The sequence below is a fragment of the Homo sapiens genome, chromosome 7 (assembly GCF_000001405.40).
Source record: "Homo sapiens chromosome 7, GRCh38.p14 Primary Assembly".
In the NCBI taxonomy this organism is placed as follows: domain Eukaryota; kingdom Metazoa; phylum Chordata; class Mammalia; order Primates; family Hominidae; genus Homo; species Homo sapiens.
The window spans coordinates 129,933,454-129,948,288 of NC_000007.14; the positions used below are offsets into that span (position 1 = coordinate 129,933,454).

At 42.1% G+C, this 14,835-nt stretch overlaps 1 protein-coding gene across 4 annotated transcripts in view, besides 1 other annotated feature; it reads right to left on the reverse strand.

Annotated features, from left to right (window-relative positions):
- Positions 1-14,835, reverse strand: part of UBE2H (ubiquitin conjugating enzyme E2 H) — a 122,229-nt gene that overhangs the window by 102,722 nt on the left and 4,672 nt on the right. The gene's annotated exons all lie outside the window — the stretch shown is intronic.
- Positions 12,468-12,967: an enhancer, noted in NCBI's record as "H3K27ac hESC enhancer chr7:129585761-129586260 (GRCh37/hg19 assembly coordinates)". NCBI's record gives its function as "activates a minimal SCP1, AML or CMV promoter by ChIP-STARR-seq in naive H9 embryonic stem cells {active_cell/tissue: H9 hESC(naive)}" and the evidence as "EXISTENCE:reporter gene assay evidence [ECO:0000049][PMID:30033119]".

Consider the following 14,835-nt stretch of genomic DNA (forward strand, 5'->3'; position numbering starts at 1 on the left):
CTGTTTCTTTCCCCAATGCACAACCTTAATTTCCTTTTATCTTAAACACCAGGAATCAAACAATCTCAACCATCTGAAAACGGCATTGAATAACCTATAAGGTATTAGCATTTAGGACCATTTAAGAAAACAAACACACGTTACATGTGGGAAAATGAACACTACATAAAAAGGCAAATGACATCCACACAGAAAAGAATTGAATTCCCCATCATTGGAGGAAGATTCAACACTTTCCTGCAAGATTTCCATATCGTTTCAATTGCAGGTGCCAAAGTTTAGTCTAAAAATGACCTAAGGACTTGGTGAAAACCCAGTAGTATATAATTTATTCTAATCCGTTTAACAGGTGTTTGCTGAGCATCTACTACACAGGCAAAGCTATAAGGGACAAAAGCTTAGGAAACCATAGTTAGCCCCAGATCCACTGTGATAAGGACTTACTCTGATCTCAGCACCTTTAACTGACCTGTGTGGTCCAGATTTTTAACCCACAAAAAGTGGGCCATAACATCTCAAAGCAAAAATGCTGCAAGGATAAACGTGAAATGTATTAGAATGAAAAGTACATTATAGAGCAATGACAAGCCAGGCACAGTCACTCATGCCTGTAATCCCAGCACTTTGCGAGGCCAAGGTGGGCAGATCACTTGAGCTCAGGAGTTTGAGACCACCCTGGGCAACATGGTGAAACCCTATCTCTACTAAAATTACAAAAATTATCCGGGCATTATAGCACACGACTGTACTCCTAGCTACTCAGGAGGCTGAGGCAGGAGGACCGCTTGAGCCTGGGAGGTGGAGGTTGCAGTGAGCCGAGAAAGCACCACTGCACTCCAGCCTAGGCAACACAGACCGACCTTGCTTTAAAAACAAAAAAGAACAACAAAAACATGAGCTGAGGCCAGGAGTGGTGGCTCACACCTATAATCTCAGCACTTTGGGAGGCCAAGGCGGGTGGATCACCTGAGGTCAGGAGTTCAAGACCAGCCTGGCCAATATGGTGAAACCCTGTCTCTACTAAAACTACAAAAATTAGTCGGGCATGGTCGTGGGCACCTGTAATCCCAGCTACTCAGGAGACTGAGGCAGGAGAATCGCTTGAACCTGGGAGGTAGAGGTTGCAATGAGCCAAGATCATGCCACTGCACTCCAGCCTGGGCGACAGAGCAAGACTCCGTCTTTAAAAAAAAAAAAAAAAAAAAAAAAGCTGAAATAAAAACACATACACCAAAAATCATCAAGGTTTTCTCATTTAAAGGAGTAATTTCAACTGCTTAGAAAATTCTGAAGTGGAAAATATATATAAAAAAATAAAATAAAAATTTTAAAAAACAGTCAGGGTGGCTCACCCTGTAATCCCAGCACTTTGGGAGGCCAAGGTAGCCAGATCACTTGAGGTCAGGAGTTCAAAAACAGACAGGACAAGACCCCATTTCTACAAAAAGTATATATATGTGTGTGTGTATATATATGTGTATATATATATATATGTGTGTGTGTGTATATATATGTGTATATATGTGTGTGTATATATATGTGTGTGTATATGTGTGTGTGTGTGTGTATATATATATATGCACCACAAAATAGAGGTGAAAGGTAAAAATAAACATATGTATATATAGAGGTATACATAGAAGCAGAAATATATATAGATAAATATATAACTTTTAAAAATAAATTTAAGGCTGGGCATGGTGGCTCACATCTGTAATCCCACCATTATGGGAGGCTGAGGTGGGCAGATCACGAGGTCAGGAGTTCAAGACCAACATGGTGAAACCCTGTATCTACTAAAAATACAAAAATTTGCTGGGCGTGGTAGTGCATGCCTGAATCCCAGCTACTCAGGAGGCTGAGGCAGGAGAATCGCTTGAACCCGAGAGGCGAGGGTCATAGTGAGCTGACATCACACCACTGCACTCCAGCCTGGGCGACAGAGCGAGACTGTCTCAAAGAAAAAAAAAAAAAAAACAGAAAAGAAAATATAACTCAGGTAATTAAATACATAAAACTTTGAAATGAAAACAGCATGCTGCCATTCTATCCTGACAAAAGCTTCCATAAATCAGGCACTTTTACAGCACTTATTCTATTCTTTAAATTAACAGGGTAAATACAATTCTGACACCTTAAGAAAAGATGCAATGCCATCTAATCTATTGTTGTAGAGAGGTACCAGAACACTGATATTAAAATCTACTAAGTCATTTTTATTTTTCTTTACGAATCTTATATTGATAAGCAGGATTAACAGACATTACTAGGCTGTTGTTTTAATTCTATTTTTCACACAACAAACATGACTACTAGTAAAACTGATGTTAATCACAGTTGAAAAGTAGTATCCTCTCAACTTTCATCTGTTTTTTTCTATCAATAATAACAAAGTTACCAGAGTTTACTCTCCTAATCTGAAGCGGTACAGTCAAGCATTAATGAAGTGTACAGTCAAGCATTATTACTTCTTAAGCTACTATTTAAGGCAACAAATGCTATTATTGCCTAGAGAGAATATGATTATTAATTTCCACACTAAGAGCCCTTATATTCGGAAAGCCACCATTGCTTTGTAATACTAGTATTTGCAGTCCAGGTTTTCTCGAAGTATAAAAACATGCTAAAATCTATGACTCTAATACCTATTAAAATTTAACTTTAAATAATAAGATGCCATCAGAACTTCATCAGAACTGACAAAACACTTTAAGAATGACATTTAAGAAATAAAACTGCCAGAACTGGCAGACTAAAACCATCATGTTTTATCCAATTCATTCAAGTGAGTAATATGCCCAATTTAAAAGCACACAAGTCACAAACTGATTTCTGATTCTACAAAAAATAGAATTTCTAAGCCGGGCACGGTGGCTCACGCCTGTAATCCCAGTACTTTGGGAGGCCGAGGCGGGCAGATCACGAGGTCAGGAGATCGAGACCATCCTGGCTAACATGGTGAAACTCCGTCTCTACTAAAAATACAAAAAATTAGCCGGGCGTAGTGGCGGGCGCCTGTAGTCCCAGCTACTCGGGAGGCTGAGGCAGGAGAATGGCATGAACCCAGGAGGCGGAGCTTGCAGTGAGCTGAGATTGCGCCACTGCACTCCAGCCTGGGTGACACAGCCAGACTCCATCTCAAAAAAAAAAAAAAAATAGAATTTCTAATTCTCATTAAGCAAATAAAAAGATACATATGTCCATTAAGATAATCCAGTTCAGGCCACGTGCAGTGGCTTGTGCCTGTAATCCTAGCACTTTGGGAGGCCAAGGCAGGTGGATCACCTGAGGTCAGGAGTTCGAGACCAGCCTAGAGCCTGGCCAACATGGTGAAACCCCGTCTCTACTAGGAAAAAAAAAAAAAAAAAAAAAAAGTTAGCCAGGTGTGGTGGCAGGCGCCTGTAATCCCAGCTACCCAGGAGGCTGAGGCAGGAAAATCGCTTGAACTGGGGAGACAGAGGTTGCAGTGAGCCGAGATCACGCCACTATACTCCAGCCTGGGCAACAAGTGTGAGGCTCCATATCAAAATAACAAACAAACAAACAACAACAACAAAAAAAACACACAGACTTGAAAACATACAATTTATGGGCCAGGTGTGGTGGTGGCTCGCGCCTGTAGTCCCAGCACTCTGGGAGGCTGAGGCGGATGGATCACGAGGTCAGGAGATCGAGACCATCCTGGCCAACACAGTGAAACCCCGTCTCTACAAAAATACAAAAAAATTAGCCGGGCATGGTGGCAGGCACCTGTAGCCCCAGCTACTCGGAAGGCTGAGGCAGGAGAATGGCGTGAACCCAGGAGGCAGAGCTTGCAGTGAGCCGAGATCACACAACTGCACTTCGGCCTGGGCAACAGAGTGAGACTCCATCTCAAAACAAAAAAAAGAAAAAAGAAAAAACATACAATTTATGAAAATGAAATGAAATTACAGTCTTTATGAACCACAAATACAGTTTTTCAGATATATCATGGTTTATATGTTATATATAAAACTCTTAACTAAATCTCAAACAAGGGAAAAGTCACATTAATTACTCCAAGAGAAAGAACTGGTTACTAACTACTTTAATGCAGGAGCTCGTGGATAAAAAAGATGAGTGGATAAAAAAGCAAGTGAGTATTCACAACAGCATGACAAACAACACAGGTATACTCACATATATGGCATTTGATAATCAGAGACAGCACTTTAGCTGCCTTTCTTCACTGCCTAGAGAAATGGGCAGCAATCAAGGCATTCAAAGGTCTACCTCCTTTCCTTCTTCCAACCATAAAACCAACCTAACTCAAAAGAAAGGTATTTTAAATCTTTATAGATAAAAATGAATAGAGTGACAAAATACATCATTTGTTTTTTCTTTATTCATTATCAAGATGGTGGCTATGAAGAACTAAATGAATCAGGTTTGTAAAGTTAACAGATGCTAATAATGTCATATTGTGATGCAAAGATGAGTGCTTTTATCCTCAGTTCCCTTGATAATTGTGTTATCAAACACATATTGTGTTCAATGTTTTAGTGTGCTTAAGTACACTTAAGAGCAACGTTAATATCTAATATCAGCCACCAAGATAAAAGGCTAAAACTCCTGTCAAAACTACTACACATACTGAAAATTCTTTTCCCTCCTGTTTTCATCTATTTGAATATAATTTGTAATAAAAATCCATGGCCAGGCACAATGGTTCACAACTGTAATCCCAGCACTTTGGAAGGCCAAGGCAAGAGGATTGCTTGAACTCAGGAGTTCAAGAACAGCCTGGGCAACATGGCAAAACCCTGTCTCTACAAAAATATACAAAAATTAGCTGGGCATGGTGGCGTGTGACTGTAGTTCCAGCTACTCAGGGGGATGAGGCGGGATTGCTTTGCACCCAGGAGGTCAAGGCTTCAGTGAGCCATGATGGCACCACTGCACTCCAGCGTGGGCAACAGAGAGAGAGACTGCCTCATTCAAAAAAAAAAAAAAAAAAAAAAAAAAAAGGCTGGCTCATGCTTGCAATCCCAGCACTTTGAAAGGCCGAGGCGGGTGGATCACCTGAGGTCAGGAGTTCAAAACCACCCTGACCAATATGGAGAAACCCGTCTCTACTAAAAATACAAAATTAGCTGGGCATGGTGGCACATGCCTGTAATCCCAGCTACTCGATAGGCTGAGAATTGTTTGAACCCGGGAGGCGGAGGTTGTGGTGAGTCGAGATTACGCCATTGCACTCCAGCCTGGGCGCCAAGAGCAAAACTTCGTCTCAAAAAAAAAAAAACAAAGCCGACCCAAACTGTCCAAGATTCCCCTCACAAGATTATGTACTTGTAGGCTTAGTTTGATGTTTTTGTTTTTTTGTTTTTTTTGTTTTTTTTTGAGACAGAGTCTCAGTCTGTCACCAGGCTGGAGTGCAGTGATGCGATCTCGGCTCCCTGCAACCTCCACCTCCTAGGTTCAAGCAATTCTCCTGCCTCAGCCTCCCGAGCAGCTTTGATTACAGGCGCCTGCCACCACACCCAACTAACTTTTGTATTTTTAGTAGAGATGGGGCTTCACCATGTTGGCCAGGCTGGTCTCGAACTCCTGACCTCAGGTGATCTATCCGCCTTGGCGTCCCAAAGTGCTACGATTACAGGCATGAGCCACCACGCCCGGCCTCTAGTTTGAATTAATGATCTGATCAAGTACAATTCACAGCTGTGAGAACCAAATGCCATATAAAAGTGACTGTTTTTTTAATTTTTAGAGACAGGGTCTCACTATAGTGCTCAGGTGGGAGAATGCAGTGACTATTCACAGGCACAGTCATTGTACACTACAGCCTTGGACTCAAGCAATCCTCCTGCTTCAGCCTTCCCAGTAGCTGGGACTGAAGGAATGAGCCACTGCAACCAGCGAAAGTGAGCATTTGTTACCCAGTTTCCTTCTTTCGGAATACAATTAAAAGAGTTATATAGTTCCAAGCTTTGCTGCCAAGGAGAATCACTAATTTATTTACAGGTTTAGATTCAAGAATAGCAAAAGGGTAGTAAACATCCAGCAGTAAGACCATGAAAACATTATATCCATCTATATATTACTCTTGGTGATCTCTTACTGATATGACTTTAACCAATCAACCTTCTACATACAAATGCTACAATGGAAATGTCCAACCAAATTCTGAATTTTTAAATTAATCAACTTATCAGCAACTGTCTATGCAACATAGTCATCAAATTGAAAAGCAAAATCCAGGCTGGGCACGGTGGCTCATGCCTGTAATCCCAGCACTTTGGGAGGCCAAAGCAGGTGGATCACGAGGTCAGGAGTTTGAGACCAGCCTGGCCAACATGGTGAAACCCCATCTCTACTAAAGATACAAAAAATTAGCCGGGCATGGTGGCGCGTGCCTGTAATCCCAGCTACTCGGGAGCCTGAGGCAGGAGAATCGCTTGAACCTGAGAGGCGGAGATTGCAGTGAGCCGAGATGGAGCCACTGCACTCCAGACTGGGCGACAACATGAGACTCCATCTCAAAAAAAAAAAGAAAGAAAGAAAGAAAGAAAAGCAAAATCCAGATTACCAAAGTTATACTGGCACCCTTTGGACAAAACAACTAAATTTACTTTTTGCTAGGCTAAGTGACAGCCCAATTGCTTCTGAGGTAACACAAACCAGACACGCACTCTGTATCTAGTTTTCTATTTATATTACCTCAACTAAGATTTTATAATCCAAAAAACCTTGAAAAGTGTACATGATAACTTGATATATGAAAAAAAGTTGCCTAATACTAAAAAGGAAATGCATAATTCACAACATTAATAACATGATTTTGTATGTAGGGAGTATCTCCTACCTTCACATATAATGCTTCCCTAAAAATGGTTTAAAAGTTAGAAACCAGGAGATTGAACCAAAGACAAAGATTACATTCTCAATTAATTGATATCCTAAATATGGATCCTCCAAGTGCTACAGAACAGGTGCCTTTTTTGAGTCCACTGACAGACCCGCCAACCATGCCTATCTTCTAGAGAATGGCAAAGTCTTCCAGAGAATGGCAAAGTCCAGCCAAGCCTCTCCCTTCACAAGGGCTACCTACTCCTCTCTCTGACTTCTCTGCAGGGACAGGTCAGAAGATCAGCAGCAACTATTCACACTGCCTACATAACGTCCTAGATACCTACAAAGCAGGGAGAGGCAAAAAGGATCCTCCTTCCCTCTTAAGCATATGGCTGCCATGTAGGGCTTCCCCAGGCTCTTGAGGATTTGGGTTCTACTGGTCATGGGCAGATACCCCCTTGAGCACCAGCCTATAAACAACCAGACACCTTCCCCAAGCATCTGGTGAGGTACAGAGAAGAAATTACAATAACCATAGTACCTGGGCCCCCAAAAGCTTAATTCTTCTCCAATGTGATACCCAATTGAGAATCACTAATGCAACAACAGCCTCTCAACAGACTACTGTGTTTTCAAAAGTTTCTACAATGCACTCGAATTACACTTCAGCATAGAAAATAACAAACTGGAATCTTTTTTTTTGGAGACGGAGTCACAGTCTGTTGCCCAGGCTGTAGTACAATGGCACCATCTCAGCTCACTGCAACCTCCACCTCCCGGGTTCAAGCAATTCTCCTGCCTCAGCCTCCCAAGTAGCCGGGACTACAGGCGCAAGCCACCACGCCCGGCTAATTTTTTGTATTTTAGTAGAGACAGGGTTTCACCATGTTGCCCAGGCTGGTTGGTCTCGAACTCCTGAGTTCAAGCAACGCCCGGCTAATTTTTTGTATTTTAGTAGAGACAGGGTTTCACCATGTTGCCCAGGCTGGTTGGTCTCGAACTCCTGAGTTCAAGCAATGCCCGGCTAATTTTTTGTATTTTAGTAGAGACAGGGTTTCACTATGTTGCCCAGGCTGGTTGGTCTCGAACTCCCGAGTTCAAGCAATCTGCCCACCTCAGCCTCCCAAAGTGCTAGGATTACAGGCATGAGCCACTGCGTCTGGCCAAGACACTGGAATTTATATGCTCAGGGCACCATTCCTGTGTCTGAATACCAAAACAGTCTACTCACCAAACATACTATCATTGCTCCAAACTAAAACAGGTACAAGCCAGGTCACCTTTTTGTTAGCCAAACTAAAAGTTCCAGCTGTCAGTAATATTAATTTTTTTTGAGACAGGGTCTCACTCTGTTGTCCAGGCTGGAGTGCAGTGGCATAATGATGGCTTGCTGCACCCTCAATCTCCTGAGCTCAAGCACTCCTCCCAAAGTGGTGAGATTACAAGCATGAGCCACTGAATCCAGCTTTAATTTTTTTTTAGCAACACACATGTAAATGTCCATAAGATAAATTGTTTATAATTTATCAGAAAGAATGTAACAACAACTATTACAAATCAATGTCTAATTTTATTATGGCAGTGTCCAATAACCTATCAAATAACTCTTAAGATGCCAAAAAAAAATTTTAAGCACCATTTCACTAAAAATTAACTTAAGGCCAGGCACAGTGGCTACCCCTGTAATCCCAACACTTTGGGAGGCCAAGGCAGCCAGACCGCTTGAGCCCAGGAGTTGGAGACCAGTTTGGCCAACATGGCGCAACCCTGTTTCTACGAAAAATACAAAAGTAAGCCAGGTGTGGTGGCACACGCCTGTAGTCCCAGCTACTCGGGAGGCTGAAGCAGGAGGATTGAGTTCAGAATCCGGAAGTTCGAGGCTGCAGTGAGCTGTGATCACACCACTGCACTCCAGCCTAGGTGACAGTGTGAGACTCGGTCTCAAAAAAAAAAAAAAAAAAAAAAAAGCTTCAAAAAATTCCAGGCTGGGCGCGGTGGCTCACACCTGTAATCCCAGCACTCTGGGAGGCCAAGGCAGGGGGATCACCTCTCTACTAAAAATAAAAAATTAGCCAGGCGTGGTGGCACATGCCTGTAATCCCAGCTACTCAGGAGGCTGAGGCAGGAGAATCGCTTGAACCTGGGAGGCAGAGGTCGCAGTGAGCCGAGATCATGCCATTGCACTCCAGCCTGGGCAACAAGAGTGAAACTCCGTCTCTCACACACACAAAAATTCCAGGAAAGCATGATATCAAAGGATATCCTAACTCTTATAGTCTGTTTCCCATTCTGTCACTGAGCTGCTGTTAGTTCCTTTCACCTGAGTTTATTCCATGTGAAAATTGAAGATATTATTCAGACTTCAACAGAGTGCTCCAGAAATATTTATCAACTGCTGTAAACTTCACTAGAAATGCTAAAGAAATGTTAAAAAAAATCTTATCAATACTTTACAAAGAAAATAATACCATCAACAAAAAGTGTGCTTACCTATTCACAAAGATATAGAGCCTTACTAGCAAATATAAAAATAAAATTGCTGTTTGTGACTATGATCCTAAAGTGTAATGTGTTTTTTTTTTTGTTTTTTGAGATGGAGTCTTGCTCTGTTCCCCGGGGTTGGAGTGCAGTGGCATAATCTCGGCTCACCACAACCTCCGACTCCCAGGTTCAAGCAATTCTCCTGCCTCAGCCTCCTGAGTAGCTGGGATTACAGGTGTGCACCACCACACCCAGCTAGTTTTTGCATTTTTAGTAGAGATGGGGTTTCGCCATGTTGGCCAGGTTGGTCTTGAACTCTTGACCTCAGGTGATCTGCCCACCTCAGCCTCCCAAAGTGCCAGGATTACAGGCATGAGCCACTATGGCCGGCCAGATTCCTAAAGTGTAATTTCAAAGGGCCACAAAACATTTTTTTTAGACAGGGCCTTGCCCTGTCACCCAGGCTGGACTGCAGTGGCATGATCTTAACTCACCACAACCTCTGCCTCCTGGGCTTAAGTGATCCTTCTGCCTCAGCCCCCAGAGTAGCTGGGATTACAAGTGCATGCCACCATACCTGGCTAATTTTTTATCTGTTTTGGTAGAAATAGGCTTTTGCCATGTAGCTCAGGCTAACAAAAATATTTCACAATAAAAATTTAATTTACTAATTTCAAATGGGGGTGGGGAGAGAAGAGTAGCTACCAAATCAGCTTTAACCAAATTCAGCTAGAAATCAATGCTTTAGGCCAAGCGCCGGGAGGCAGAGGTTGCAGTGAGTTGAAATCGCACCACTGCACTCTAGCCTGGGCAACACAGCCAGACTCCGTCTAAAAACACAAACACAAAAACAAACAAAAAACCAGATTGGCCAGGCATCGTGGCTCACACCTGTAATCCCAGTACTTGAGAGGCAGAGGCAGGCGGATCACCTGAGGTCAAGAGTTCAAGACCAACCTGGCCAACATGGCAAAACCCTGTCTCTAACTAAAAATACAAAAATTAGCTGGGTGTGGTGGCAGGCCCCTGTAATCCCAGCTACTCGGGAGGGTGAGGCAGGAGAATCGCTTGAACTCAGGAGGCAGAGGTTGCAGAGAGCCAGTCTGGGCGACAGAGCGAGACTGATTCTGTCTTTAAAAAAGGAAGATAAAGTGTTTAAATCATTATTCAAGTGAAAGGTATCACAATCATTGTGGTAAAATTTGTTTTATTGATAAAAAAATTAACAAAATTCATATACTATAAAATAAGGTTAATAATAAAAAATAAATCAGTGCTTTAAGAGCATGTAATTTAACATGATTCCTTTAAAATACACAAGTGAGGCCAGGCGCTGTGGCTCATGCCTGTAATCCCAGCACTTTGGGAGGCCACGGTGGGCAGATCATGAGGTCAGGAGATCAAGACCATCCTCGCTAACATGGTGAAACCCTGTCGCTACTAAAAATACAAAAAATTAGCCAGGCTTGGTGGCGGGTGCCTGTAGTTCCAGCTACTCAGGAGGCCGAGGCAGGAGAATGGCGTGAACCCAGGAGGCGGAGCTGGCAGTGAGCCGAGATCGCGCCACTACACTCAGCCTGGGCGACAGAGCGAAGACTCCGTCTCAAAACAAAACAAAACAAAACAAAACACACAAGTGAAACAACCGTTGTCACAATTTTATTTGGGTGTGAAATATGGACCATCATCAGTAAACATTAAATTCAAACTACGTGTTAAACATGGCTGGGCACAGCGGCTTACATCTGTAATCCCAGCACTTTGGGAGGCCAAGGCCAGAGGATCACTTAAGCCCAGGAATTTGAGACCAGCCTGGCCAACAGTGAGACCTCATCTCTACAAAAAAAATAAAATTAGCCAGGCAAGTGGCCACGACTGCAGTGAGCTGAGATCACACCATGAACTCTCATCTGGGCAACAGAGTGAAATCCTGTCTCAAAACACACACGTGCGCATGCGCTCAAAACACACACACACACACACACACACACACACACACACGCACGCACGCACGCGCATGCGCAAACCCTACCACATGATCTAGCTTAGCCAAGAGAAAAAAAAGCGTATATCCATACAATGTTCATAGCAACTTTACTGGTAATAGCCCAAAACTGGAAATAACCCAAATGCCACCAAGCATTAAGAGGTGAATGCATAAACAAATTGTGGTATATCCACATAATAGAATACTACTCAGCAATAAAAAAAAAATGAACTAAATAACATGGGTGAATCTCAGAATTATAAGTGAAAGAACCCACACAAAAAGAGTATGTACTGAATGATTCCGCTTATATATACAATTCTAGAAAATGTAAAATAATCTACAGTGACAGAAATGAGATCAATGGTTGGAAGGGAGGGAGGGAAAGATTACAAAGGGCCACAAGAAACTTTGGGGGAAGATAAATATGTCTCCTCTCTTGATAAGGATAAGCTTCATGGGTGATACATAAAATTAAAACTTATCAAAAGTATCACTTTAAATATGTACAGTTAACTGTATGTCAATTATACCTCAATAACAAAAAAGAATCCAAGATGCCAAAACTAATTCTACAGTTCCTGTTAGATCTATCTGCTCATAAATATATTTAACCTACCGACTTGCAGTATGCACTCTGAGAATACAAAATTATGCCTAAATTGAGGATCACCATTATCACAAAAAACATCAAAGTTTAAACAATGAGGAAATTAGAATTCATCTTTAATCACTATGCCAGGCTATTTCAGTGCCAAAACGATACCAACTAAAACACAACACAACAAAACAAGAGCCCGCTGAGTGTAGGGCTCTGAGATTTTTAATTAAATATTTTAATTCAAATGTTTACCTTCTTTGATCTAGAATCCCATTTCGGGAAAACAGAAATAACCCAAAGAAAAGCCTATGCACAAAGATGTTAATTTCAATCTTATTCATCAGAGAAAAATGGCAAAGAATTAAATCAATGGCACAGCCATGGGATGGCATATTACATGAGCTACTTTTTTTTTTTTTGAGACTGAGTTTCGCTCTTGTTGCCTAGGCTGGAGTGCAATGGCGCAATCTCAGCTCACCGCAACCTCCACCTCCCAGGTTCAAGCGAATTGATTCTCCTGCCTCAACCTCCCAAGTAGCTGGGATTACAGGCATGCGCCACCACGCCCAGCTAATTTTGTATTTTTTAGTAGAGATGGGGTTTCTTCACGTTAGTCAAGCAGGTCTCAAACTCCTGACCTCAGGTGATCTGCCCACCTCAGCCTCCCAAAGTGCTGGATGTATAGGCATGAGCCACTGTGCCCAGCCTAGTCATTATTATTTTTTTTTTTTTGAGACGAAGTCTCACTCTGTGGCCCAGGCTGGAGCACAGTGGCGCTATCTCTGCTCACTGCAAGCTCCGCCTCCCGGGTTCACACCATTCTCCTGCCTCAGCCTCCTGAGTAGCTGGGACTACAGGCGCCCGCCACCACGCCCGGCTAATTTTTTTTTTTTTGTATTTTTAGTAGAGATGGGTTTTTACCATGTTAGCCAGGATGGTCTCAATCTCCTGACCTCATGATTTGTCTGCCTCAACCTCCCAAAGTGTTGGGATTACAGGCGTGAGCCACCGCGCCCGGCCCCTAGTCATTATTTTTAACTGGGAAAAACAGTTGCAAAAATATTAAGCAAAAACAGGGCAGACACATACAGTATGATCAACAGGTTGAAAACAATACATCCTGGGGAGAATAAAAGATATAGGAAAAAAGCCATAAGGTTAACATTTAAGGCCAACAGTTCTTAAACAGTGGTCCTGGACCAGAAGCATCATCTGCGAACTTCTTAGACCCCACCCTAGACCCAATGAATTAGAAAACTCCAGGAGTGGTATGCAGTAACCTGTTTTAACAAACTCTCCAGGTGATTATTTGTTTTTTGTTTTTTGAGATGGAATCTTGCTCTGTCCCCCGGGCTGGAGTGCAGTGGTGCAATCTCAAACTAAAGTTTGAGAACTACTGTTTAAAGAACTAGGATTACAGGTGACTGGTTTTCCTTCTTGTAACCTATGTTTTTCTCAATTATCTTTTTACTTTTGAAATCCAACTAAGTTCTTTTAAGTATTTTACTAACAGGTACACTCTGTAGGTCTACAGGTAAAAAGCTATTACGTTGCAAACATTATAACGTAATGTAAGGTCTGGATTACATGCCTAAAAATCCAATGATTCTTGGAACCATCAAATCTGTTAAGACTGAAAAGAATACCAATGTTTAAATATATCTATAAAATGCAGGTCAAGGGGCTAAGAAAATTGCAACACTAGAAAACCAACAAACTTAGGTTGTTCTAACATACATACACAAATACAGGAGGGACGTTTATGGGTCACATCTGCGAAACATTTTTTCCCAAAAAGCTGAATTTTTAGGCTTGCGTGTAATTTACTAGAACTGCACTGCAGGAATCAGATGTTCTGAAGCTGTGAATGCTTACTCATGTAGGTTCCTGCCTAACCAAAATAAGTACCAGTATGTTATATTTGTCACCAAAATCTAGGCAGGGAAGACAAATTCAGAACACTGAGAGTTGCCAAATCTTTAACTTTTAGCTTGAAGACCATAAAGCTGTGCCAACTTTCATCTCATCATCTCACTAAAACAGAGTCCACTGGAAATAAAGAGGCAAACCACAGGTTCCCAATTGACACTAGAACTAGTTAAAAGATTTAGGGAACTGTCTACCCTTTGAACACAAATTAAAGAGTAACAAAGACTACTAACTTAGGGATAGAGTAACTACTGATTAACAGCAAAATACCAAAGTTAAGTCAAAGACAAATGGCTACATATTTTAATATTTTAGTTTTGAAATTTTTTTAAACAGGTGTACAGATCCCCATATACATCCTAGCACACAAAATTCATTTTAACCTTTCTATTCCTTGAAAAGTCCACTCTAAGTAAATACAAGTTACTCAAAAAGGCACTACACACAGCAATGACCTAACACAGCCTGTCCTTTCCGACTAAAAAAGTTTTAACTAATTGCATAAGCACCATGACCACCCATACTGAATTTTTCACTACTAAACTCCCAGCACAATGCTGGCACAAAGCAAGTACCCAAACATATGAGGATTTTTTTTTTTTGAGATAAGAGTCTTGCTCTGTCGTCCAGGCTGGAGTGCAATGGTGTAATTTAGGCTCACCACAACCTCCGCCTCATGGGTTCAAGCTATTCTCGTGACTCAGCCTCCCAAGTAGCTGGGACTACAAGCCCGCACCATCACGCCTGGCTAATTTTTTATATTTTTAGTACAAGTACATACGGGGTTTTGCCATGTTGGCCAGGCTTGTCCCGAACTCCTGACCTCAGGTGATCTGCCCGCCTTGGCCTCCCAAAGTGCTGGGATTACAGGCATAAGCCACTGTGCCAGCTTTTTTTTTTTTTTAATTAAGAGAGTCTTGCTCTGTTGCCCAGGCATGAGTGCAGTGGCATGATCTTAGCTCACTGGACCCTCAAACTCCTACACTTAGGTGATCCTCCCGCCTCAGCCTCCCAAAATGCT